Raw genomic sequence first — 25,185 nt, 5'->3', positions numbered from 1 at the left:
AAATGGAGCTTTTTGCAAACTGCTGGTTGTAAAAAATCAAATTAATTTTTCACAGTTCCCCAAATCCTATTTAAAACAACTACCTAGGAAACTTTTAAAAGTTGGGCATTAGTGAAGCCAAATTATTTTGCTTATCTTCTTATGACAAGTTTATGAGTAAGTTTTCCTTGGGTTTTGTGGTGAATCAGTGTGTGTAGTATGGATAATTATACAGTTAGCTGTTCTTAACTATGTATTGGACATGTCTTTAAATACACAGCAGAAATTGTGCCACAAGGGAGTATGATGTCCAGTCCCCACTAGGGTCCTGGTCCTTCGTGTGTCTGCAGTGTGAGCCTTCTTCCAGGGCAGGATCCTGACAGTCACAACAAAACAGCCCAAATCCCACTCACACCAGAGGCTGATGGCAGAACCCTTCAGAAAAAAAGATTTGATGATGGAAGAAGAGTAAGAAAATGTGTATCTAACCATTCATGAGAAAGTACAGGATAGCTCATTTCAATAGGAATCTAAATATTACTGGACCAAGAGAGTTATACAGTTTCCCTGGAACACTGTGCATGTGACACTCAAGAAGAATTCTGTATCAGTGTTAGTCATTGCCTCAGCCCACACGTGAGTGCCAGCAGTGCCAGGCCATGTGTTGGACCCCAGGGATACGGCGGTGAGCGCACTAGGCCTGGCCTGCCCTCCCGGAGCTCACAGTTGAGGCTCATCAACCTGCCAACAAACATGCTGTCAGTACCTCCTTTCAAAACTAACGTGTCATAAAGCAGACAAGATCTTAGAATAGTTTAAATCATCCCAGCTGGAAAAAGAAGGTTGCATGGTATTTGTGAGTTTTGAGAAAGGAGTTTCCATTTGGTTGAATCTGTAAACTTAAACCACTCAACAAACATTCTTTTTTAAAAAGGTATCATATTTCTTCTTTCCTTGACCCTGTGATGTTTATTTTTGTTGCTCACATTGGACTTTCAGGCTGATGGCAGCAGTGCTGGCTGCATAAACAGATTTTTCCACTTCAGTGAAATCAGCAGAGCTTGTTTCAGTTGCTGCATGGATGGTCAGCGTCGTTCCTTCTCATGTCCTCCTAGCATCCATCCTCAGCATTGCCATAAAACCTTCCTGGTGTGTAGTTTTCTAAAAAAATATTATCTAGCATATACATTTCACTCAGAAATACTTCCTTTATGGCAGTTCCTTAGCCAAGGCCGTGCTTTATTCATACTTCAGGATCAGCTAAGCCAAACCACGGTGGCAGTGAGGAGTGGGTCCTTTGGTTTGTTGACCCTGGTTGTCAGGGCTGTCTTTGGCTCATGTGTCTCTGTATTGAGATGTGGTTTAGCCTGAGAGAGTGGCCGGCTGCAATGCTAATTGTCCTCCCTGGTTTGCTGGCATCTGTGGGAGAACAAGAAGAAAAGGCCTTGGGTTTGGGAGAGCCCTGTCATCCATCTGGAGTGACCTGGGAGTGACCTGCGCGCCTTTCCCCCTGCCCCCGACTCATATTACCCTGTTCTTGTTCTTTTTAAAAATACTTTTATCTGTTTTTCCTACATTCTTTGGCATTTTAATCTCCCTCCCTTCCTTTCCTCCTTCCTTCCTTCCCTCTCTTTGTTTCTCTCTCCTTCTTCCTCCTCCTCCTCTTCCTCCTCTTCTCTTCCTCCTCTTCTTCTTCTTCTTTCTTCTTCTTTTGTTTTCAAGTTGGGGGTCTTGCTCTGTTGCCCAGGCTGGAGTACAGTGGTGCAATCATAGCTCACTGCAGCCTCAATCTCCTGGGCTCAAGCGATCCTCCCATCTTAGCCTCTTGAGTAGCTGGGACCACAGGCATGTGTGGTCACACCTGGCTAATTCCTTTTTAAATTGTTTTGTAGAGACGGGGTCTTGCTGTGTTGCCCAGGATGGCCTCAAACTCCAGGCCTCAAGTGATCCTCCTGCCTCAGGCTCCTTAAGTGCTGGGATTGCAGGCTCGAGCCGCTGCACCTGGCCCTTATTTTATTTTTAAGTGATCTGTACAAATTTATTGGGAGGACAAGAAAAAGGACATTTCAGAGAGTAAATAAAGAGAACGTTCCAACATAAACGGGAAAGGGATGTAGATAACATGGAACTCTGTCAAGCCCTTTAAACAAAGGCCAGGACTTTCTACCTTGCTGTGTGCAGCCTTCCAAGTAACCCTACCATTGCCTTTCCTGGCCGTTTGGATCTTCTCTACAGAAAATTGGACTTTTTCCACAGACTCTGGAATCAGCAAACACTAATTTTTACTTTTATAAGGTATAATCATTAATATTCCCTCATGCACATTAGTCATAGTCCAAGAAATGAGATTATTATTAGGCATCGAGCCAGGATAAGTACTGAGCCAGGACAGCTGTCAGGTCCAATTGGGCAGAACATGCAAGGCTGTAACTGGTGAGCAGCTGTTGGTAACCTGGGAGGCAGCCTGCTTCATGGTCACCATAGCGGATGGGCCTAACTCACCTAAGCAGGCAAGCACATGAGAACCTTCATATACAAGAACCTACCCCAGCACCAGGGTGGCATGCCCATGAGCACAGGGATGTTCATCTGCTCTGTCACCACTGCATCCCCAGTGCTTAGAACAGAGCCTTACACTGCTTGGTATTCCTCAGCACTGAATGAAGGAAATATTACATCAGAGACCATGAAGTTACTGAGTTGGAAAAGGTCTCAATACCTTAACTAATTGCTTTGCAATAGAAACAAGTACTTGGAGCATTTTCTCTTCCCACCTCCTTACCTCTCCTCTTTCATCCATGTTATCTTTGTAACTTTAGGTAAAAAGCTAATCTATTTTAGCCTCAGTTTGTTCATCTTTGAAATGTGGTTAGGAACCCTTATTTCCTAGGAGGTGGGGGGGGGGTGTGATTCACCCAATCACCCACAGCTTCTCGCACAGCTCCCGCCCTGTGCTAGCGCTGTTCATTCCATCTTCCTCTCTTTCTGCTCGTTCCCTTAAAAAATCTGCAAAGCGCTTATACCATACTTGTTTACCATCCAACAAAGCCATGAATAGCATTTTCTAGGAGAAAAGAATCATAAGATAGGAACACTACTAGGTAGAAAATTTGACTAGAAAAGGTCCTAGTGAATGAAACACCTGGTAATAAATACAGTCAAGTGCCGCATAACGATGTTTCGGGCAACCACGGGCCACATGTATGATGATGGTCCCATGAGATTGTGATGGAGCTGGAAAATTCCTATTAGCTAATGGCTTTGTAGCTGTAACTTCATAGTCCAACTCTTACTTACGCATGTGTGGTTTATGTTGGTGTAAACAAACCTACAGCACTGGGCACTGCTGGTCTTTTAAAGTGTCCAGTAATGTCCTAGGCCTTGACATTCCCTCACCACTCACTCACTCACTCACCCTCCACAACTTCCAGTCCCTACAGGCTCCATTCATGTTAAGTGTCCTATATAGATATGCATTTTTTTTAATCTTTTATATGATATTTTTACATTATCTTTTCTATGTTTAGAGATGTTTAGATAAACACTATTCTGTTACAGTTGCCTACAGTATTCACTACAATCTCAGGCTGTGCAACAGGTGTTTGAATAACATGCTTCATTTAAGATCATTTTGTTATAGCGTTGATGAGAAAAAAAAATGATTCCTGGCCAGGGCCACTGTGTGGAGTTTGCACATTCTCCCTCTGTATGGTAAAATTGGTTTTGTTAGACATCATTTTGCTTAAACTTGCAGGTTTCCAAGAACATAATGATGATGTTAAGTGAGGACTGTACTGGTTTGTAGCCAGGAACAATATGCTATACCATCTAGCCTAGGTGTGTAGGGGGCTGTAGCATCTAGGTTTGTGTAAGTACACTCTATGATGTTCACACAACAACGAAATCACCTAATGATGAATTTCTCAAAAGATATCCCCATATTTAAGGAATGCATGACTGTATTAATACATTCTATCATTTTTGAAACTCTGTTAAGTCTACAACAGCCAGCTGGTATTTTGCCCCTATATTTTCCAGAGTCAGGAAAGAAGCAGAATAGATTTTTTAAATTCCTAGGCCAAGGCAAAGTCTCCACCAGTAGCATGTGATGAGAACACTGTTCAGTCATCCATCACATGGTGTCACTCAGCCATGCAAAATTACCATTTTCTCAGAGAAAGTGTTGCTGGACCTGAGGAACTGTAAAGTATATTTTCTGCTTTTTAGTTTCCTAGCTCTCTGCCACTTGTGGGTACAGTGACCAGTTTAAAAACAGGAGTTTCCTAGCATGAGAAATATATGTCTAGATCATTTGTAGCAAAGTATCAGAGTCCAGATTTCATGGAGGTCTAAGGCCTGTGGATTGGGTGGAGGGGACCTGCGGATCCCAACTTTCATCCAGAAGTTGATACATACTCACCTTCTTTAGTAGCTAGTTTCAGTTTTTGATTCAGGACAAGTGAGGAAAAGCAGGTATTTCAAAATACTGCCAAGAAAGAGATGAGAGGAGGTAGAAACGGCCATGGTCCTGATATAAGATGATTTGATGGTTAATTGGCATGCATTTCTGCAAAAATCAACATGCCACCATCACTATGAGGTAGCTACCATTACCATGTTGATATATGTGTGAACAAAAGTTTTCTGGAAAGGAATTTAAAAAGACTTTACTCCAATGAGCAGTTTGCAAACCAGGGAGCTGCAGCCTTCAATGTAAACTGAAGGTACATTCCAGAGAATCTAAGGAGTGTTTGTGTTTTATAAAGTTTCTGTCCATGTTCTCACTCAGGTCCATTTATGCAAATGAAGGAGTCAAACTTGCTTAGTTCTGATTGGTTGATGTTTGCTGAGCTCTGATTGGTCAACATAAGTCAGACCTTATGATTGGTTCAGGCAGGGTAAACAGGAACAGGCAGCTATGAAAGTCCCCAAGTTAAGCAGAGGTATGGGTTTTCCAGGAATTCAAAGTACATGTGTGACGACTAGTCAGCAAATGGCCACTTGGTTCTAATTTCAACTAAGGCCCAGTTGGCTGCTCAGGATTCATCTTGAGGGATTGGCTCTTCCAGAGTTCACAGTGTCTTTGACAGTGCTTTTTTTACTGATGTAATTTTATGAAAACACAGTCATGTTATTTGCACTATTTGATTTTTTGTTTGTTTGTTCCGGCTTTGTTTGGAAAACTTCCTTGAATATTCAGCACTCTTGGCTCTTCATGTTTGGGAGTGATGTACTAAAAGCTGATTGGAAGGACTATAGGGTGGGGCCTGTAGAGTGGGGGCTTTGCTGTAGGGTGACCAGGTGGAGGACTGGGGGTTTGTCCCTGGGGCCTTTCGGTTTTACCAGAAGAGATCTTCAGATCTGCAGGGTGTGTGGGGGTTGGCAGGGGAGGAGAGTTGAAGCCAGTGTGGTTGATTTAGTACTTCCATGCTCACTTAACTCTCTGTGTTATTCCTTTGTGGGTTTTTTGTTTGTTTGTTTGTTTGTTTTTTTGACAGAGTCTAGCTCCATGGCCTACTCTGGAGTGCAGTGGTGCGATCTTGGCTCACTGCGACCTCTGCCTCCCAGATTCAACCGATTCTCGTGCCTCAGCCTCCCGAGTAGCTGGGATTTCAGGCACACACCACCATGCCCGGCTCATTTTTGTATTTTTAGTAGAGACAGGGTTTCATCATGTTGGCCAGGCTGGTCTCGAACACCTGACCTCAGGCAGTCTGTCCACCTCGCCCTCCCAAAGTGCTGGGATTACAGGCATGAGCCACCACGCCTGGCCCTTCTGTGTTATTTCCTTGCTGTCTGCTCTCACTGTGTTGTAGTCTGATTTGGTGTTGGGGCGGGGGCCTGGGGACACCTAAGGACCCAGGTGATCTCATATAGACCTCCAGGGAGGCCTCTTTTTCCACCCATACCTCATCCTCACTGCCCTGTGGGCTCACAGCATGTACTTGGTGTATTGTCGTCTGTTATGTGGAGGTAGCAGCTGTTCCTCCATCTGGTTTCTGTATTTTAAAAGGTATTGAATTTTCTTCTTATGCTGTGATTGTTATGTAACAGCTATGATGAAAAATTAAGAATAGTAAGAGTGATTTGGTGTGGCTAATGCACCACATATACCTGGAAATCCCACATATATGTGTTTGTTACCTACATTTTTGTTGTTGTGTTTTTACTTAACAGTCTGTTAATTGTTTTAGCTTACCCTTAGGATAAGTATAAATTCCCAGACATGACTTGCTGGGCCCAAAGAGTATGGGAATTGTTTGGGACCAATGATCCAGCAGCAAATTGGAACCAGTTTGCAGGAATAGTTTCTGCAAAGCTTCTGAGAGGAGAGGAGAGGAGCAGGTGTCGGGGAGAGATGGCTGTTCAGCACTTTGCAAAGTGCTCCAAGGCTCCGGGTTGAATGTGCAGCATGCTTGCTCCTGCCTTCCAAGAGCTGACCACGTGGTGGGGGAGCCAAGGCACAAAAGAGCTGTACCTTTGCACATCTGCTTCTTTATTCATTCATTCATTTGTTCGTTTGTTCATTCATCACTCACCACACGTGACTGAGCGGTTCCTATTTGCCAGACACAGTGAATATGCACTCAGTTCTGGCCCAAATCGCTGGCAGGACAAGGGGGCAAGACTGTGAAGAAAGAGCATGGGCAGTGGGACGAACAACCTGGGCCTTGTTGTACTGTTAAAACACTATACAACGTGATTTTGCAACGTGCTTTTTTCATTCATTATGGGTTTTGTGATTTCCTGGTGATGGACATTTAGATAGTTTCCAGTTTTCCCCTACAGACATAAGTACAGTGAGTATTCTTTTTTATGTCTCCTCTTGCAAAGGTGGGGAACTTATCTAGGGGGTGGAAGTGGAATCTTGGTTGTAGGATTTCAGCATCTTTAACTTTACTAGATATGGTCAAAATATTCTCCTGTGTGATTGTACCAATTTACACACCTTTCCTCAGTTTATCAAAATGCAGCATCTCTCTAACTTTGCCAACACTTGCTGTTGTCAGATATTTAAAGTATTTGTCAATCTAATGGGTGTGAAGTGCTCTCTTATTTTTTCAGTGAAGTTCTATGATTGCTGGTGACATTGGACTTCTTGTGACTATTTAAGTTTTGAATTCAGACTTTACCACTGCCTTTATGAACTTGGGAAATGTTCATAAATGTTCATAATGTTCAGGAGACCAAACCAGTCTCCTGGTTTGGTGAAACATAAATACCTACATTTAGCGTTATTATGAGAAGGAGGGACCACACGCATGGCTCCTGGCTGTTTGTGTCTCAGTCTGAAGTCATTCTAACAACACCACCCAGCGGGCTGCCCCTCCCCACTGAGGAGACCCCACCCCACCCCACGCCCAAGGCTGTAGTCTGGAGCAGCAAGAGCCAAAGAGGTCCTGTGAGAGCAGGGGGTGCCTCTTGAGAACCCCAGCAGGAGTCCCAGGAGAGCCGCCCACCCCTGGATGCGGTGCCCGAGTGTCTGTCCTACAGTAGTAGCTGGCAATGCAGCAGCGAGCACCACTGCGCCTCTGTGCCATCCTACTGGCCTGTCAGCTCCTCGTCCACCTCTGCCCTCATACCTGGCTCCCCACGGTGGAGCCAGAGTGGGCCTTTTAAAACAGAAGTCAGGGCTGGGTACGGTGGCTCACGCCTGTGATCCCAACACTTTGGGAGGCTGAGGTCGGTGGATCACTTGAGGTCAGGAGTTTGAGACCAGCCTGGACAACATGGCAAACCCTGTCTCTACTAAAAATACAAAAATTAGTCGGTTGTGATGATTCGCATCTGTAATTCCAGCTACTCAGGAGGCTGAGGCAGGAGGATCGCTTGAACCGGGAAGGTGGAGGCTGCAGTGAGCCAAGATTGCGCCACTGCACTCCAGCCTGGGGCCACAGAGCAAGACTCCATCTCAAAAAAAAAAAAAAAATATATATATATATATATATATATACTATATATATATACTATATATATATATATATACATACTATATATATATATATACTATATATATATATACACACTATATATATATACACACACTATATATATATATATATATACACTATATATATATATACACACTATATATATATATACTATATATATATATATATATATATATATATATATATATATATACTATATATATATATCCATCCCCTACGACTAACTACTCCTTCCCTTATCCTTGGCTCTGATTGGAAGAAACCTGATTATTGGCCGAGCCTCCTTATATCTTCTCAGTGCCTGGAAAACAGGCTGTGGTCTGTAGACACAATTTTTGGCATTTAGAAAGAAAATGCCTGTTGGTTTATAATCAGTATGGAGGATGCATGTCCTGACATTCCACTGTCAGAAACATGGACTAAAAGAAGAAATTCCAATTGGTAGGGTAACAGCCAAGTTTTAAACAAAATGGTTGGATTTTAAAGCATTGTTGGAAAATGGAAACTTGTTACAGAGATTCTGAGCCTTTGGAAATATAACTTAAAAATTAAACCCATAATATGTATATATTTCAAAGTTACACTGTAACTTTTTCAGAAAAATACATAAAAACTGCATAGCCAGGGAATTTCAGTTTTTGCTACCATACTTCATAACTAAAATATTTGTATACTTTACCGAATTACCTTGTCAGTGACTCTTTGAGGGCACTTTGTGAAAGTAGCAGATTACTGTCTTCCTTCTTGGGTGAACCTATAATTTGCCAGATCTTCCAACCTACTTGACAGCATTTAAAAAATAACCACAGGGAAGCAAGCTCTGTTCAGTCTGCATCCAAATGTCCCTTTCCCTGGGCACTCACGGGCTGCCTGTCCCCAGCAGAGCGAGCTGTGGGAGGCACGGAGAGCCCCAGAGCCCCCAAACATGCACAGCTACTCTCTTAAAAAGTCCCAAACACACACAGCTACTCTCCTAAAGCCCCACAGTCGGAGACAGGTGTGTGCAGTGAGGCACGCCTATGTGCCATTGTCGAGTAAGTGGATCTTTTTGATGGAGACAGCGGCAGAATTTTCCAGGCAGCCTTTGTCTGGAAGTGAAGAGCAGAGTCTTCACACATATTCAGCCTACTTAATTTCAGGAGCCAGGAGTGGCTTGGAGCCCAAACAGAAAAAGTCTGCTCTTCCGGAGTCACATTTAATCTGTTCATGCTTCAGCTCTGATGATCTGGCTTATTTTTTGGCTATTAATGCTCAATTGTGGCACAAGTTAGTCCTTTATAAACTCAGTCTCATCATAGCATATAACTTAGGTGCCACAACGAGTCTCCGCAGGGCTAAGCTGGCTGTCTGCTCACTTTTTTAAGGGATGTACACAGTGGGCGCTGGGGACCAGGGCCAGAGAGTGGCCACCTGTTAGAGCTGCATGTGTGTCTTGGGCCTGGTCTTCTTTCTCTGCTCACTAATGACAGCTGTCCCAGCCTCTTGCAGGCTCTGGCCCACCACCTTGCTTGCTGTGATTTTTTTTTTTTTTCCTCACACATGATAAGCTGAGGCAGAAAGTGAATCCTTTCCTTTTTCCTTTTCTTTCTTTCTTTTTTTTTGAGATGCAGTTTTGCTCTTGTTGCCCAGGCTGGGGTGCAATGGCATGATATTGGCCCACCGCAACCTCTGCCTTCCGGGTTCCAGCGATTCTCCTGCCTCAGCCTCCCGAGTAGCTGGGATTACAGACATGCGCCACCACTCGATTACAGACATGCGCCACCACTCCCGGCTAATTTTGTATTTTTAGTAGAGACGGGGTTTCTCCATGTCAGTCAGGCTGGTCTTGAACTCCTGACCTCAGGTGATCCACCAACCTCGGCCTCCCAAAGTACTGGGATTAATAGGCGTAAGCCACTGCGCCTGGCCTCCGTTTTTTTTTTTTTTTTTTTTATAGAGTAGGGGTCTCACTCTGTCACCCAGGCTGGAGTGCAGTGGCACAATCATAGTTCACTGCAGCCTCCAACTCCTGGCCTCATGTGTTCCTCCTGCCTTGGCCTCCCAAAGCACTGGGATTACAGGTTTTCCTTTCCTTTATGAAGACCTTTTTCCTCCTAAGGTAGTGTTCCCAGCAAGAGTGCGAATTAAAACCCCAACTAATTCTTTTCTTAATTCTGCTGCTAGAGCTCCAGCAGACAGGGCTTTGTCTTACCCATATCTTATTACTCTTCCTGTCAGAAAAACACTGGAAGTTCAGAATGAAGCTTGCAGAGGAACTTGGCAAGCCCTTTTTTGACCCTGGACCTGAACCTACCTTGGAAGGCAGAGAAAGCCCCACTTCTGCCTGGGTCAGTGTAGCCCTGGCCAGCATGAGCCCTGCCCAGTAGGAGTGCCAGAGGCCGGCTCTGGGTCCCAGCATCCCTCTGGCTTACGCTACACCCTGTCAAGGTCAAGTGATTTTCTTTCTCTGATTTCTCTGTGTGCAATCTTTTCTGTTCACCAGACAGTTTTTCGAGCCTCCTTTTGAGTTCTACCCCAGCCCCAGCCCTGACCATCTTCAGCTCATTCTTTTAAAGTGGGTTTCTCTCTAACTTAGTGTTGGGCTGCCTTTTTTGTGTTGGGAAAACATGGGCCTCTACCTAGTCATGACACCAAGCCCTCTTGACTAATGGTTCCCAGATTTTTCCTAGAATTGCATCTTCTGTGGGACCAACATGGTCCTTCCCATGAAGTGCCCCATTCCTGTGCTCTCTGCTGAAGGCTTCCTGGCTATGCTGCTTTCCCCAGGCATTTAGAACGCCGGGGCTGGTCTCTGTCCCTTGGAGTCATGCTCATGGCCTGGCACATGATGACTCCCCCTGTGGATTTTGTGTAATTACTTATTTTCCTGGTGACTTGTACAAACCAAATTTTAGTGTACCTGTTGTCCTTAAAAACAGCAATGTCTTGGTTGGTGTAGGTTTTAGAAGGAGACAGAAAAATCTTTCCTCATGAAGCTCTTTTGCAGTCTCACATTGGGCTTGGCTCTCAGACCCCTTGGATTCGGGATACTGTTGAACAGCCCCATGGTGCTATTAGAGCAAAGCGCTTCCTGCCAAAGCAGATGTGTGCCTGCCAGGTTGGAGGCAGGGGGCCAGGAAGCCCACTGCATTGCTGGTTTCCTACGCCCAGAACAGCATGCTGTGTGCACTCGCAAGTTCATGCTGACACACACGTGTGCTGGTCAGTGCCCAGTAATGCTATACAAAACACTAGGACTGAACAGGATGTATACTGTTAAAATTTGATTCTCCCTTGCATTACAGAAGCTTTTTTTTTTTTTTTTGAGACAGTGTTTCGCTCTTGTTGCCCAGGCTAGAGTGCAATGGCGCAATCTCAGCTCACTGCAACCTCCACCTCCTGGGTTCAAGCGGTTCTCTTGCCTCAGCCTCCCGAGTAGCTGGGATTACAGGTATGCACCACCATGCCCAGCTAATTTTGTATGTTTAACAGAGACGGGGTTTCACCATGTTGGTCAGGCTGGTCTCAAATCCTGACCTCAGGTGATCCACCTGCCTTAGCTTCCCAAAGTGCTGGGTTGGTGAGGCGTGAGCCACTGCACCCAGCCACCGTTACAGAAGCATTTTAAAGTGCTTTTGAATGTTATATTCTTTTGTATGTTATATTCATTTTAAAGTTCTTTGTGTGCTGCTTTTTAAAATTGGCGTATGTTTTTCTCACAGGGAGATTTGACCTAGTAATGATAGCCATAGCTAAGAGTTTAGCACACTTTAAGAACAAAAGCATTTAAACATTAATAAAAGTAATTTTGTAGTCAAATATTAACCCAACCAATTATTTACTTTAGGGCCTTAAAAGATATAAGATTATTTAAAAAGACACTCCTGGCCAGGCGCAGTGGCTCATGCCTGTACTCCCAGCACTTTGGGAGGCTGAGATGCACAGAGTGCTTGAGCCCAGGAGAGACCAGCCTAGGCAACATGGTGAAACCCTCTCTCTACCAAAAAGACAAAAATTAGGCCTGGTATGGTGGCTCTCGCATGTAATCCCAGCACTTTGGGAGGCCGAGGTGGCTGGATCACTTGAGATCAGGAGATCAAGACCAGCCTGGTCAACATGGTGAAACCCCATCTCTACTAAAAATACAAAAATTAGCCGGGTGTGGTGGCGAGGCACCTGTAATCCCAGCTCCTTGAGAGGCTGAGGCGGGAGGACTGCTTGAGCCCAGGAGGTGGAAGTTGCATTGAGCCAAGATTGTGTCACTGCACTCCAGCCTGGGCAACAGAGCAAGACTCTGTCTTTAAAAAAAAAAAAAGGAAAAAAAAGAAAGACAGACAAAAATTAGTTGTGTGTGGTGGCGCACCTGTAGTCCCAGCTACTCAGGAGGCTGAGGTAGGAGGATCGGTTGGACCTAGGAGGCAGGGTTTGCAGTGACCAGAGATTGGGCCACTGCACTCCAGCCCGAACTCTGAGCGATAGAGCAAGACCCCTCTCAAAAATAATAATAATAAATTTAAAAATACATATTTATTTAGGTTCTCAAAATTCACTGATCACACCAGCAATCAATAATGGAACAGTCTCATTTTTTGAAGAATTATTATTTCTAAGCATTTTGTTAAATCTTTGTGTTAATTATTGTCATCTTACCTATTTGAAAATTTACCTTTTCAGAAAACTTGATGATCTTAACAGCAATTGAGTTTATTTGGACAAAAACTGAGGAGACCAAACCATTCAAATTTTAAGATAAAATAGGCCAGGTGCAGTGACTCATGCCTATAATCCCAACACTTTGGGAAGCTGAGGTGGGGAGGTTTGCTTGAGGCCAGGAGTTTGAGACCAGCCTAGGCAATATAGTGGGACCCTTTCTCTAAAAATGAAAAAGAAATTAAAGAATAAAGTTAGCCAGGTGTGATTGCCTGCACCTGTAATCCTAGCTACTTGGGAGGCCGAGGCAGGAAGTTTGAGCCCAGGAGTTAGAGGCTGGAGTGAGCTTTGATTGCACCACTGTACTTCAGCCTGGGTGACAGAGCAAGACCCTGTCTCTAAAAAATAAATTATAAATTAAAACAAAAAAATAGCCAGGCACCATGGCTCACACCTGTAATCCCAGCAGTTTGGGAGGCTGAGGCAGGCAGATTGCTTGAGCTCAGGAGTTCCAGACCATCCTGGGCAACATGGCGAAACCCCATCTCTACTAAAAAATACAGAAAATTAGCTGGGTGTGGTGGTAACGCACCTGTAGTCCCAACTACTCTGGAGGCTGAAGTGGGAGAATCACCTGAGCCTGGGAAGTCAAGGCTGCAGTGAGCTGTTTTCACACCACTGCACTCCAGCCTGTGCAACAAGAGTGAGACCCTGTCTCAAAAAAAAAAAAAAAAAGTTAATTAATTAGTTAGTTAATTTTTTAAAAGATGGGCATATTTGTCCAGATTATACATAGCAGACAGCAAAGTAGAACCAGTTATCAATTATCTACTGTTGTGTAACCAACCATCTTAGACCATCCCAGAATTTTTAGTGACTTAAAAATAATGGCTTTTTGGCCGGGCGCAGTGGCTCACACGTGTAATCCCAGCACTTTAGGAGGCCAAGGTGGGCGGATCTTGAGGTCAGGAGATCGAGACCATCTTAGCTAACATGGTGAAACCCCGTCTCTACTAAAAATACAAAAAATTAGCCAGGCATGGTGGTGGGCACCTGTGGTCCCAGCTACTCAGGAGGCTGAGGCAGGAGAATGGCGTGAACCCAGGAGGCGGAGCTTGCAGTGAGCCGAGATAGTGCCACTGCACTCCAGCCTGGGCGACAGAGCGAGACTCCGCCTCAAAAAAAAATGGATTTTTAAAATTTGTTATTATTTTATTATTACTATTTTTTTGAGACGGAGTCTCACTCTGTCGCCCAGGCTGGAGTGCAGGGGCGCTGTCTCGGCTCACCGCAACCTCCATCTGCCAGGTTCAAGCAATTCTTCTGCCTTAGCCTCTGGAGTAACTGGGACTACAGGCACATGCCAGTGAAATAATGGCTTATTATTTCTTATGGCTCTGTGGGTTGGCTGTGCTCAGCTGGGCAGTTCTTCTGCTCCAGTGGTATCTGCTGGGGTTCCATGTAGCTCATTCCACTGGGAACTCAGCTGGGGCTGAATACCCAAGAGGGCTTCACTCATGGGTTAGAACTGCAACACAGTTAACTGGATCTGTCTCCAACCATGGTGCGATCTGAGGACTGAAAATGGAAGTAGCCAGCCTTCTTGAGGGTGAGGCTCAGAACTGGCACAGCAGCACTTCTGCTCATTCCATTGATAGAGAAAATCACAGGCCAGCCAATATTCAAGGGGAGGGGAAGTAGATTCCGCTTCACACTGGGGGCTGCAGCCCGTACATACAGGGATGGGAGAAATTTTTTAGTGCCCATTTTTTGGTAGCACTGTTACACATGAATAGAAATATAGGATCCAGGACCCCTGAAACCATGCCATGTGTGTGTACTAATAGGGAACTTTGAGTATATTAAGTTTCTGTGGAATGTGCTTACCTCTGTTCACCTATCTCCATTGTGACAAAAGTCTTATTTTAGCAAACATTCCTCAAAATCCTGGAATTTTACAGATAAAAGGAACTTTGGGATTAGCTTGTATATTCTTATCTTGCCATTTTATTGGACACAACTGTGATCTGGAGAATTTTTGTGATCTGTCCACAATTATGTAGCTAGATAGTACAGGCAGTTTTGTTTTAATGGAGTCTGATACATGTGTAAGCATGTTATTGTCATGCTCTCTTTAACAAATCGAAATTACTGTTCTTTCAACATAAAATTAAGTCATACTTTAATTTTTTTCATGTTCTAATCAAGCCCTTGTTCATAGGCATAACTGATTTGTGTACATAGTTACTAAGAGACATAACATTTTATACAATCAGCATTTTTTCATGTTGTTTACACTATTGAAAGTTGCCTGTTTTGTTTTTGCTTATTTTTGCTACATACCATCTAGAACAGTGGTAGATTTGTTAGAGTTTTACTTATAGAAAGTATTATTTCTGGCTGTGGTAAGTGTATTCTAAGGACTATATTAATTATAATTATAGTTTAGTAGTGGCCATGTGGCCTCTAACTCCCATCCCACACTTTCCTATTTGAGGGGCTGATATATTATACCTAAATCTGACAGACATCATTATGGAAATCAGTTTTTTAAAACTGAATTATTTTAGCCTGAGGATAAATTTCAAGAAGTAAAATCATTAAATCGGGATAAAAAAAACTTAATAACTTTTGATAATAAATATTCACCCCTGAATATTTTTGGTTTATACATGACCAAGAATAGTTTTACCAGCACATTTATCTTTATTATTATTATTATTATTATTATGACAGAGTCTTGCTCTGTCACCCAGGCTGGAGTACAGTGGTGCAATCTCGGCTCATTGCAACCTCCACCTCCTGGGTTGAAGTGATTCTCCTGCCTCAGCCTCCTGAGTAGCTGGGGCTACAGGCGCATGCTACCACTCCCGGCTAATTTTTTATATTTTTAGTAGAGACAGGGTTTCACCATGTTAGCCAGGATGGTCTCGATCTCCTAACTTTGTGATCTGCCCGCCTCGGCTTCCCAAAGTGTTGGGATTACAGGCGTGAGCCACCACGCCCGGCCTATCTTTATAATTTTTTATTTTATTTTGGTGCTAACAATAGTTGTAAAATGCTCTTTATTTTATCAGTGTTTCTTTGTTTTGTTTTGTTTTTGATGGAGACTTGCTCTGCTGCGTGATCTTGACTCACTGCAACCTCCGCCTCCCAGGTTCAAGTCATTCTTCTGCCTCAGCCTCCCTAGTAGCTGGGACTATATAGGTGTGTGCCACCACGCCTGGCTATTTTTTTTTTTTTTTTGTATGTTTAGTAGAGATGAGGTTTCACCACATTGTCCAGGCTGGTCTCGTGATCATTGGCAAGGCCAAGGATTTTTCATGTTCATTTTATTTTATAACAAATTTAAGGCCAGGCACCCTAGCTCATGTCTGTAATCCTAGCATTTTAGGAGGCTGAGGCAGGAGGATGGCTTGGCCTCCGGAGTTTGAGACCAGCCTGGGTTACAGTGAGAGCCCATCTCTACAAAAAAATTTTTTAAAAAATTAGCCAAGCATACTGGCTCCTGACTACAGGAGGCTGAGATGGGAGGATTGCTTAAGCCGGGCAGTGCCAGGCTGCAATGAGCCCTGATCGAGCCACTGTACTCCAGCATGGGTGACAGAGCAAGACCCTGTCAAAAAAAAAGAAAAAGAAAAAGTGCTCGCTTCTGCAGCAGATATGAAAATTGGAACGATACAGAGATTAGCATGGCCCTTAAAAATACACAAAACAAAAACAAAACATTATGCCAAATTTCTTCTTCATTCGTTTCAAAAAGACGTATGGTTTGTACCTGTATGTGCCGAGCAGGTGTCTTCCGGGCGTGTGTCTGGTTTACCAAGGTTCGGGGGCCTGCGGCGCCACCAGCGGTCGGAGGCGGCCACGGCTGGGGCTGGAGCTTCTGCTGCATCCGCGCAAGGTGGCGACTCATTTTCTTCAAGCACACAGACATTTAAACTCCAAAGGCCACTACTTCCATTTGTCCTCCACCTGTTTTCCAGTCATAATTGGCTCGCACACGGCACGTGCTGCGCCTGCCCAAGGTCACCGGGGCCCCTGCCTCGCGTGGACAAGGTTGTGGACCAGGTCGCCAGAACCCCCGCCCTGCGTGCACAAGGTCGCGGGGATCCCTGTCCTGCGTGGACAAGGTCGTGGAAAAGGTCACCAGGGCCCTTGCGCCGTGTGCGCAAGGTCACCGGGACTCCTACCCTGCGTGGACAACGTCGCCAGGGCCCCCGCCCCGCGTGCACAAGGTCGTGGACAATGTCGCAGGGCCCCCACCCGGCGTGCACAATGTCGCTGCGGCCCCCGCCCCGTGTGGACAAGGTCACGGGGCTCTGCCCCACCAGCCCAAGGTTGTCGGGCCCCGCCCCGCCTCGCCCCGCATTGACAAGGCCTTGGGGCCCCACCTGCCCAAGATCGCCGGGAGCGCCGCGCTCAGGGGAGGGGCACGCAATGGTGGGGCGGTTAGAGGAGGCCTGGGCCCGGAGGGCCTCATTCTTCCAGGGGCCTTTCCGTGGGGGTGGGGTTGGAACACCCTTTGGAAATTCCAGCTCCTCGGCTCCTGTGTTCTCATAAAAAAATCTAGGCCTTTGGGTCAGAGATTCTTTTGAAGACCACCCTGCTGGCAATCCTCCAAGCAAGCACAGGATCCCGCCAGAGACAGTGCAGCCTCCTCTGCCAGCCAACTGGCCCCTCTCATCCTCTTCTCTCCCTCAGTCTTTGTTTTTTCTTAATTTAATTAATTAATTAATTTTTGTTTGTTTGTTTGAGACAGGGTCTCTTGCTCTGTCTCCCAGGCTGGAGTGCAGTGGCATGATCTCAGCTCACTGCAGCCTCCACCTCCCAGGTTCAAAGTGATTCCTGCCTCAGCCTCCCATGAAGCTGGAACTACAGGCACCCACCACCATGCCCAGCTAATTTTCTCACTTTTTACAAACATGCGGGTCTTGCCCAGGCTGGTCTTGAACTCCTGGCCTCAAGCGATCCTACCTTGGCCTCCCAAAGCCCTGGGATTACAGGCGTCAGCTACAACTTAAGTGGAAGTTACCTGAGAAAGCCTGAGAGACAGGCAGACACAGACAGAGGCCCACGCAGACACGATAGGGCCAGAGTGCTCCGTTTCTACTTTTTCAGCCAAACCTCATAGTTGGAATGTTAAAACTTTAGGATATGGTTTTGCTAAGGCTTGAAAAATGCTTCCTTACCAGGAAGGGCTGAGTGGGGGAGGATCTCCATAGGAAATTCCTTCCCTCATACATAATAATTGTCACTGCATTTAAATTACTTGCATTCACATGGCAATGCACGTGAAATACTTCTGCTGCTTAGACATTGCAAGCCCAGCTCCTGCCTTGCTAAGAGCTGAGCGGTAGATTGAAGGAGTGTCTTCCAGTTCCCACCCGTCCTCGTAAGCCCTGTGCTTAGTAGAAGGGGACCAAGCCAAGAGAGCAGAGGGTGTGTCAGGAGCCCATGCTAGGCTGTCTGGCAGCTGGTCAGCAGCTGGAGAGCTGGGTGAGGCCAGCTTCCCCGAGGGACAGCAGAGAAGATCATTAAATGGTGATGTACCTGCAACAGAGGCCTGGACCATCCCATGGGGAGGTTTGGAGCTGGGGTGTGGTCCTTGCAATTGAGAGGACCAGCCTCAAGATACTGGCAGGGCCTGATACTGGCAGGTGTCCCACCCCTCAGCCACCTCGCCGTTTTGTTAAAGTGCCTCTTTTGCAGTCCTTTCTATATCAGATAGCATATGGGCAAATCTCACATTTTCCAGGCTTCGTAGTGGTTAGGTCCAGTTTTAAGCGAACATCAATTTGTTGACAAAATGTAAGAGGAGAAATCTCTTGGGAAAGATACCTAAGGTACAGATGTTCAAAACTGCTTTATTCATGTGTAATTCACACACCTAAAGTGGAGTTTTACAAGAGCTGTCAGTAGCAGCAGTAAACCAGTGAAACCTCAGTTTGTCTTGCCCTTCTCAGTCCCTCCCCAATCTCTTAGTTTTAGCCATGAGGCAGAAAACCTCTTGAGGAGCTCTGCTTTAATGGAGTGGGAAGAATTCCTTCTATCTGGTCCAGGGCCACCACCCCAAGCTGAGACTAGCCCACTGCAGTGCATGTCACCGCTCTCCAGAAGAGACGAGGCTGCCAGGCCCCTCGGGGTGTCTGTCCTTTGTGCCATAGTATTTAGCCCTACTAGCTTCTATTCTACAGCCAATCTGACAAAATAATTTTTCATTTAATATTTATGAATCTGCAAGAATAGCCCAGAGGGTAGCAGATAAGGGCTCCAGGTAAGAGCCCGTCAGACTCTTATTTTGTAACCATTGTGGCTCCCCAAACTGTGAGGCATAGAGTTTATGCCATGTCAGGTTTTGCTGAATTTGATATGGAGTGTGAATAATAGTATCAGTTCTGCCTTCAAAGTATCCAGAATCTTCTATCAGCCCAGGCACGGTGGCTCACACCTATAATCCCAGCACCTTGGGAAGCTGAGGCAGGTGGATCACCTGAGGTCAGGAGTTCGAGACCAGCCTGGCCAACATGGCAAAACGCCACCTCTACTAAAAATACAAAAATTAGCCAGGTATGGTGGTGGTTCATGCATGTAATCCCAGCTATTCGGGAAGCTGAGGCAGGAGAATTGTTTGAATCTGGGAGATGAAATTTCAGTGAGCCAATATTACGCCACTGTACTCCACCCTGGGGGACAGAACGAGCCTCTGTCTCAAAAAAAAAAAAAAAAAAATCTTCTACCACTCTAATGTAGGTAGAAAAAAAATGCTTCTGGACTGGATGTGAGATGTGAATGAAATCTCAAAGTCAAGATGCTTCCAAGGTTGGGAGCCCTGAGAGAACTGGTAAGTTAGAGGCAGGAGATTGGGTTTTGCACATGTTGAGTCATCTTACTCTTGCAGCAGGTGGCATGGAGTGGTCACTGATGAAGGAAGTGTTGAACACTGCAGGTATCTTGTGCCAAATCTGGTGCTCATATGATGGCTTCAACTCCAGCATTGAGATCTGTCTAGAAGAGAAGGCTTAATTTATGGGCGTGGTAACCAACTTCAATGGATTAGCATCCTTTTTCTATGAGACATTAGCCCAATCCTAAATTAAGCTTTCCTAAATTAAGCTTTCTTGAGGGTTTTAGGAGAAAAATTTAGTGTGTGAGGGATTTTCTTGTTGCACGTGGCTAGGTGACTGACACAAAGTCATCAAAGTCTTGTTAGCCTACCACATTACTCTGTAAATAATTAGTAATTGGTAAATAGTGCATGATACACACATTCAAAGAGCATTAAGATTTTGTGAACTTCTGTAGAAGAGGCTGTCCTGAAGAATGGCACGTGTGCAAACTAGATAATGGAGTAAAACTTGGAAGTTGCTGCTGTTGATAATGTTGATTTGAAATTCCCTTTAGCCTGTGCCTTGGTGCATCTCTGCTGTGTACCTTATCTCCATCTTCCACACACCAGGGCAGCCTGCCCAGTGGAACAGACAGTATCTTCTTACTCCCTGCTTGCAGCTCTTTCTTCCTTTCATCTATCCTATGTCACAGTCTAACTCAGTCACTCACTCAATCATTCATTGAACAGATATCTGCTGATCTCTTTCTACACGCTAGACACCAGAACACATACCTGAACTGTCCTCGCCTTCAGTTGGCTTGCAGCTGAACTCTTGCTTTGGGGCAGGGCTGCTCACCCTTTCCACATCTTGGCATGCATAGACGTGGATAATGTTTACACAGCAGCCTGAGGTAAGCTGGAAGAGACTGGAGGTGTCTATTGAGGCTTGGGGAAAAGAACTCATTACATTTCTTTGTATAATTATTGTAAGAAGAATACACAGTAAAACATTAGAGCCATTAAATATCAAACATGCATAAAATCTACAATTACAGTTTTTATGTTTTTTTTTCCCAGAAACACATAAGATACCTTTGTGAACTGTAACAGCTAACCCTTAAGTGATGCTGATGCCCAAGCATGACATCTCCTTTCATCCCTAGAGCAACCTATTAGCCTTATTTCCCAGATGAGGAAACGGGCACTCAAAGTAAGGAAATGATTTGCTGAAAGTTACACAGCTGCTAAGCAGCAGAGGGGAGGGGTGAACCTAGGTGTGTGGCCTCCCTATCTGCGCCCTGTACCACTGCGCCATCCTGCCATCTTTTGGAATAGCCACCTACGATTCTAGATAAGGACCCTTAAATGATGATCTTTATACATTCTTCTTTTAAAAAATATTTTATTCTATTTTTTTTTTTTTGAGACACATTCTTACTTTGTTGCCCAGCCTGCCCTACTTCCTGGACTCAAGCAATCCTCCTGCCTCAACCTCTTCAGTAGCTGGGATTACAGGCATGCGCCATCAACACCCAGCTATTTTTGTGTAGAGACGGGGTCTCACTGTGTTGCCCAGTCTGGCCTCAAACTCCCGGGCTCAAGCAGTCTTCCTGCCTCAGTCTCCCAAAGTGTTGGGATTATAGGCATGAGCCACCACATCCAGCTTGGTCTCCATACATGCTTAAGAAAGGAAGGTGAGTGGCCAAGCTCCTCGGCCAGGCTTCAGCTGCATCTCTCTGACACACTCCTCCCGCATCCTGGCTCCGACCTCTTGCCATTCCCCCGACTGTGCACTTGTCTTCACTCTGTGACTCTGCATGTACTTTGTGCCCAGAGGCCATGTATTTCTGATGGATTTAGAAGTGGATTCCCATTTCCTTCAGTGTTTAAAACATAGCTCTATGTATATGTACAGTAGCATCTTCTGAGATTTAATGTACAGATAGGAAGTACTTACTTGCTAAAGAAGGGTTGATGGACAGATAACAAGGGCAAGCCTCAAAGGACATGGGTTATTTGAAGGGTTTATTTATAAACAAGCCGGCTCATGAGTACGGTTCACTTTTAGGACTTGAAACTCCCTTCTGAACATGAGTCTTCACTTGTGGTCTCCTTGCTGATTTTTCTGAGTTCCTAGATTTGATGCACAATAAACATACACATCTTGAGTAGTGGGTGCTCCATAAACAGGGAGGGAATTTGAGAACATCCACATTGACCTAGTCTGTCCTGGAGCTGTCCCTTCCTTGGCAGTCAACAGGTACTGGGTTAATGAGCACAGGCTGGTGATTCACCCTGCAGGAGACAGAGCGTTGGTCACGTTTCAGATGAAGCAATTGAACGGTTAGTGCTGATGGAAAGGCTTGTGGTTAGAGTCAGCCCCAATTGGCACATTTTTTTAATGGGCGCCAAAAGCTCCAGGGTGATCCCACAAAGATGTGGTCTTATATCGTGTCTTCCTCCAAGCTGTTGAGTCTTCGTAGACGTGATCTCATCGCATAGCTCCCGAAGTAGGCGGTGGTGGGAGTCTTATCTCCTGTCCCAGGTGGGGTCAGGAAGCACTTCCCTTCTGAACCACCGCTGCCTTCTCTCTGCAACTCTTCCAGGTTGTAAACACTTGCCCTTTCTGGTAGTCCAGGCGCCACTTTAACAAACAGGTCTGTTCTTATTACCATTTTCCAATCTGTCACTTCATGTCCCATGTCCCACATGGGCAGGCAACATGGCCTGCCCATGTGGCGGCACCTCCCCAGGCCTTCCACCTCGTGCTCCTCTGCAGCCCCTTGCCTGTCCCTGCCATCTTGCCATGCCCACGCCTGCATTGCTAAGAACACAGTTTACAGCCTGTGTTTTTTGTGCTGCCATTCTGCTGGCATATGGCCAGGACTGGAAAGCTTGATTCAGTATTAGACCATCATATATGGACAATAAGTGCTTAATTTGTTCTAGGCACTGTGTTAAGGGGGCAGAAGCAACCATGAGTAACATGGATTCAGGCCCTGCCAGGTTCTTCTTGTCCTAAGGGAACCACAGACACACAGCTGAGTGCGATTCAGATCATGGGCACCACAATGCCCTATCCAGAGGTGGGGGACACTCAGTGCTGCATCTCTCTCTGCGGAGTGGCTCTGTGACCATGGCCAGGCTTCCTGCTGCAGAGCAGCCCTGCACGGCCTCCCCCACTGTCCGGGGTCTTTCTGTATCTCCACCCCCCCATTTTTTTTTTTTTTTTTTTTTTTTTTGGAGATGGAGTCACACTTTGTCGCCAGGCTGGAGTGCAGTGGCGTGATCTCGGCTCACTGCAGCCTCCACCTCCCAGGTTTCAAGCAATTCACCTGCCTCAGCCTCCTGAGTAGCTGGAACTACAGGCACACACCACCATACCCAGCTAATTTTTGTATTTTTAGCAGAGACGGGATTTCACCATGTTGGCCAGGATGGTCTCGATCTCTTGACCTCTTGATCCACCTGCCTCGGCCTCCCAAAGTGCTGGGATTACAGGCGTGAGCCACCACGCCCAGCCATCTCCACCCCTTTCTTCTCTGCTGTCTGGGTAACTGTGGACTCCTTTCCGGAGCTCCCCGTTCTACATTTTCAGTTTCCTCCTGCCTGGTTGCCCTCCTCGTTGACCTTCAGAGTGCTCAGCCTTTCTTCTTCTGCTGAAGCCCTTTTTGTGGCCTTTGCCTGTTTTTGCCCTTGTCCCACAGCCAGCCTCAACGGTGTTCTTTTCTCTCTGCTCACCCTCCCTGTTTGCCTACAGCTCTGCGGAGCTGTCCTGAAAGGTGAAGGGGGCGCCTTCATCAGAGCCTCACCGCCCCGCGCCACTGGGCTGCATCTCTTCGGTACCCTCCTGCCTATTCTGTCTCCCCCATCTGAGTGCCTCCAGCTCTGCACCCACAGCCGCCCCCAGCCTGACCTGCTGATGCCGTATGTCCCAGTTTGAAAGCTTCCTCGAATGCCTGCAGACAGGAGCAAAACCCTGGAGAGCCTGGCCCCCATCTGTGGGTCCATCCCCCCATCTCCACCTACCCTTGCGTGCTGCTGCCATGGGCCCATCTTTCCCCAGGCTTCTGCTCTGGCTGTCCCATCTGCCAGGAATGCCTTTTCTCTCCCAGGGCTCTCCACCTGCCCAAAGTCTGGAACAGCTAGCCATGCCACCACCTCATCTTTCGGGTGGAAGGAGGCTTTCTCCTGTGGCCCTCATCCATTTTACCTGCCCTCTCCCGTGGTGGCCACCAGTCCCTGTGTTCTTCCCACAAGCAGTTTGAGCTACCTGTCCTGGACCGGTGTGGCTCCATGGGCCCCTGTTTTGTCTCCTTTCTTTCTTCTACGAGTCAGATCTCTAAGGGCCAGTCCTCCGCTGCTATAGCCAGCATGGGGCATTGTAAACAGTAGGCGTGTAATATATGACTCTTCGGCAGCTGCACCCTCTCCCTGGGGACAGGTTTCCTAGTCCCAGAGTTAGCCTGGAGGTGAGCTGAGGTTAAAGCCAGGTTCCCTGACTCCCACAGTTCTTCCCCTTAAATGTTTCTAGTTTTAGGTTCATCCTGAACTCACCAGTCCAACCACAAAAGTTTTCTGAGGAGAAGCAGAATTTAAGTCTCTTTCAGGCCCATCATCAAAATTCCCATATGTCCTTGACATAAGGCTAAATAGTCTATGGTGTGGCTTGTGCTAGGCTTTTGCCATCAGGTACCTGCAGGGCACACAGCCACCTGCACTCATTCTGAGGGTCTCCTGCAGCATATCGCAGGTTCTCAGCAGTACAGAGGCGAAGTGTCCCAGCACAGTCCAGCACGGAGTGGGGATGGGAGTCTTTGGTGGCTTTGTTTTAGGATGACATGCACTTACCTCTCCTTTACTTCCCTCCCAGGAGATGGCTGGCCGAGCTCTCAAGCAGACTGGCAGCAGGAGCATCGAGGCCGCCCTGGAGTACATCAGCAAGATGGGCTACCTGGACCCGAGGAATGAGCAGATTGTGCGGGTCATTAAGCAGACCTCCCCAGGTGAGCCCAGGCCTGCAGCATAGTGGGCAAAGATGGTTTGTGGCTTAAGGACAACAAAACCACGTGCAGAGGGGTCCAACCTGGCCTGGCCTGGCCAGAGCCAGTCTCCTGGCACATTGCCTCATTCAGTTAACAGGCAAGCTGAGCCTGCCCTGCCCTGACAGAGTCAGGCCCTGGCGGGAGCAGCCCCAAGTGGTAGACCGTGGGACACGCCTGGCGCTTGCCCCATCCAGCCTTGTCTGAAATTACCTTAGTACTTCCTACCTAGGGGAAGGTGTGTGCTTGTTTTATGAAAGATCAAAAAAGTCAGCAAAGCGGGCGTAAAAATGGTCTTTTCACTTTCTCTTGGGCCTGTGGAGGGATCTTTGACAAGGGTGGCTTCTTTCCTCAATTCTAAAACACACCTCTCTCACATCGTAGCTTCTGAGAGTGGGGGTTCAATGGCAGGCAGTGTGGGCAGAGCGCTGGGCCCCCCTCAGCATCCCCTGTGATGGGCCTGAGGCACCGCACCAAACCCCTGCTTTTTACTGGCTATGGATGAATGTTACTTTCCCAAGATGGAGCACATGGGCCCTGTGATTGGTACCTGAGGCCCCTGGGGTGTGATAAAGGATTCATGGCCAGGCGCAGTGGCTCAAGCCTGTAACCCAACACTGTGTGGCCTGGTTTTGTTTTGCTTTGTTTTGTTTTGTGTAATCCCAACTCTTTGGGAGGCTGAGGCCAGAGGATGGAGGCAGGAGTTGGAGACCAGCCTGGGCAACAGAGGGAGACCTCGTCTGTATTTAAA

General features: G+C 46.3%; 1 protein-coding gene across 7 annotated transcripts in view, besides 2 other annotated features; it reads left to right on the top strand.

The window, feature by feature from the left end:
• Positions 1-25,185, top strand: part of LATS2 (large tumor suppressor kinase 2) — an 88,551-nt gene that overhangs the window by 45,917 nt on the left and 17,449 nt on the right. For 6 of the 7 annotated variants that reach the window (XM_017020542.2, NM_014572.3, XM_005266342.1 and 3 more), the window contains one exon: positions 24,266-24,398. In XM_017020542.2, coding sequence (XP_016876031.1) covers positions 24,266-24,398 — 133 coding nt within the window. Of the gene's footprint in view, positions 1-20,469; positions 20,603-24,265; positions 24,399-25,185 lie in introns of all 7 variants that reach the window. The other variant, XM_017020541.2, reaches the window with a different exon arrangement.
• Positions 16,733-17,269: an enhancer, noted in NCBI's record as "H3K27ac-H3K4me1 hESC enhancer chr13:21572540-21573076 (GRCh37/hg19 assembly coordinates)". NCBI's record gives its function as "activates a minimal SCP1, AML or CMV promoter by ChIP-STARR-seq in naive and primed H9 embryonic stem cells {active_cell/tissue: H9 hESC(naive and primed)}" and the evidence as "EXISTENCE:reporter gene assay evidence [ECO:0000049][PMID:30033119]".
• Positions 18,051-18,590: an enhancer, noted in NCBI's record as "H3K27ac-H3K4me1 hESC enhancer chr13:21571219-21571758 (GRCh37/hg19 assembly coordinates)". NCBI's record gives its function as "activates a minimal SCP1, AML or CMV promoter by ChIP-STARR-seq in naive H9 embryonic stem cells {active_cell/tissue: H9 hESC(naive)}" and the evidence as "EXISTENCE:reporter gene assay evidence [ECO:0000049][PMID:30033119]".

The sequence above is a fragment of the Homo sapiens genome, chromosome 13 (genome assembly GCF_000001405.40).
Source record: "Homo sapiens chromosome 13, GRCh38.p14 Primary Assembly".
Taxonomy (NCBI): domain Eukaryota; kingdom Metazoa; phylum Chordata; class Mammalia; order Primates; family Hominidae; genus Homo; species Homo sapiens.
The sequence above is the reverse complement of the archived record's forward strand: the minus strand, read 5'-3'. Positions and strand labels throughout refer to the sequence as shown.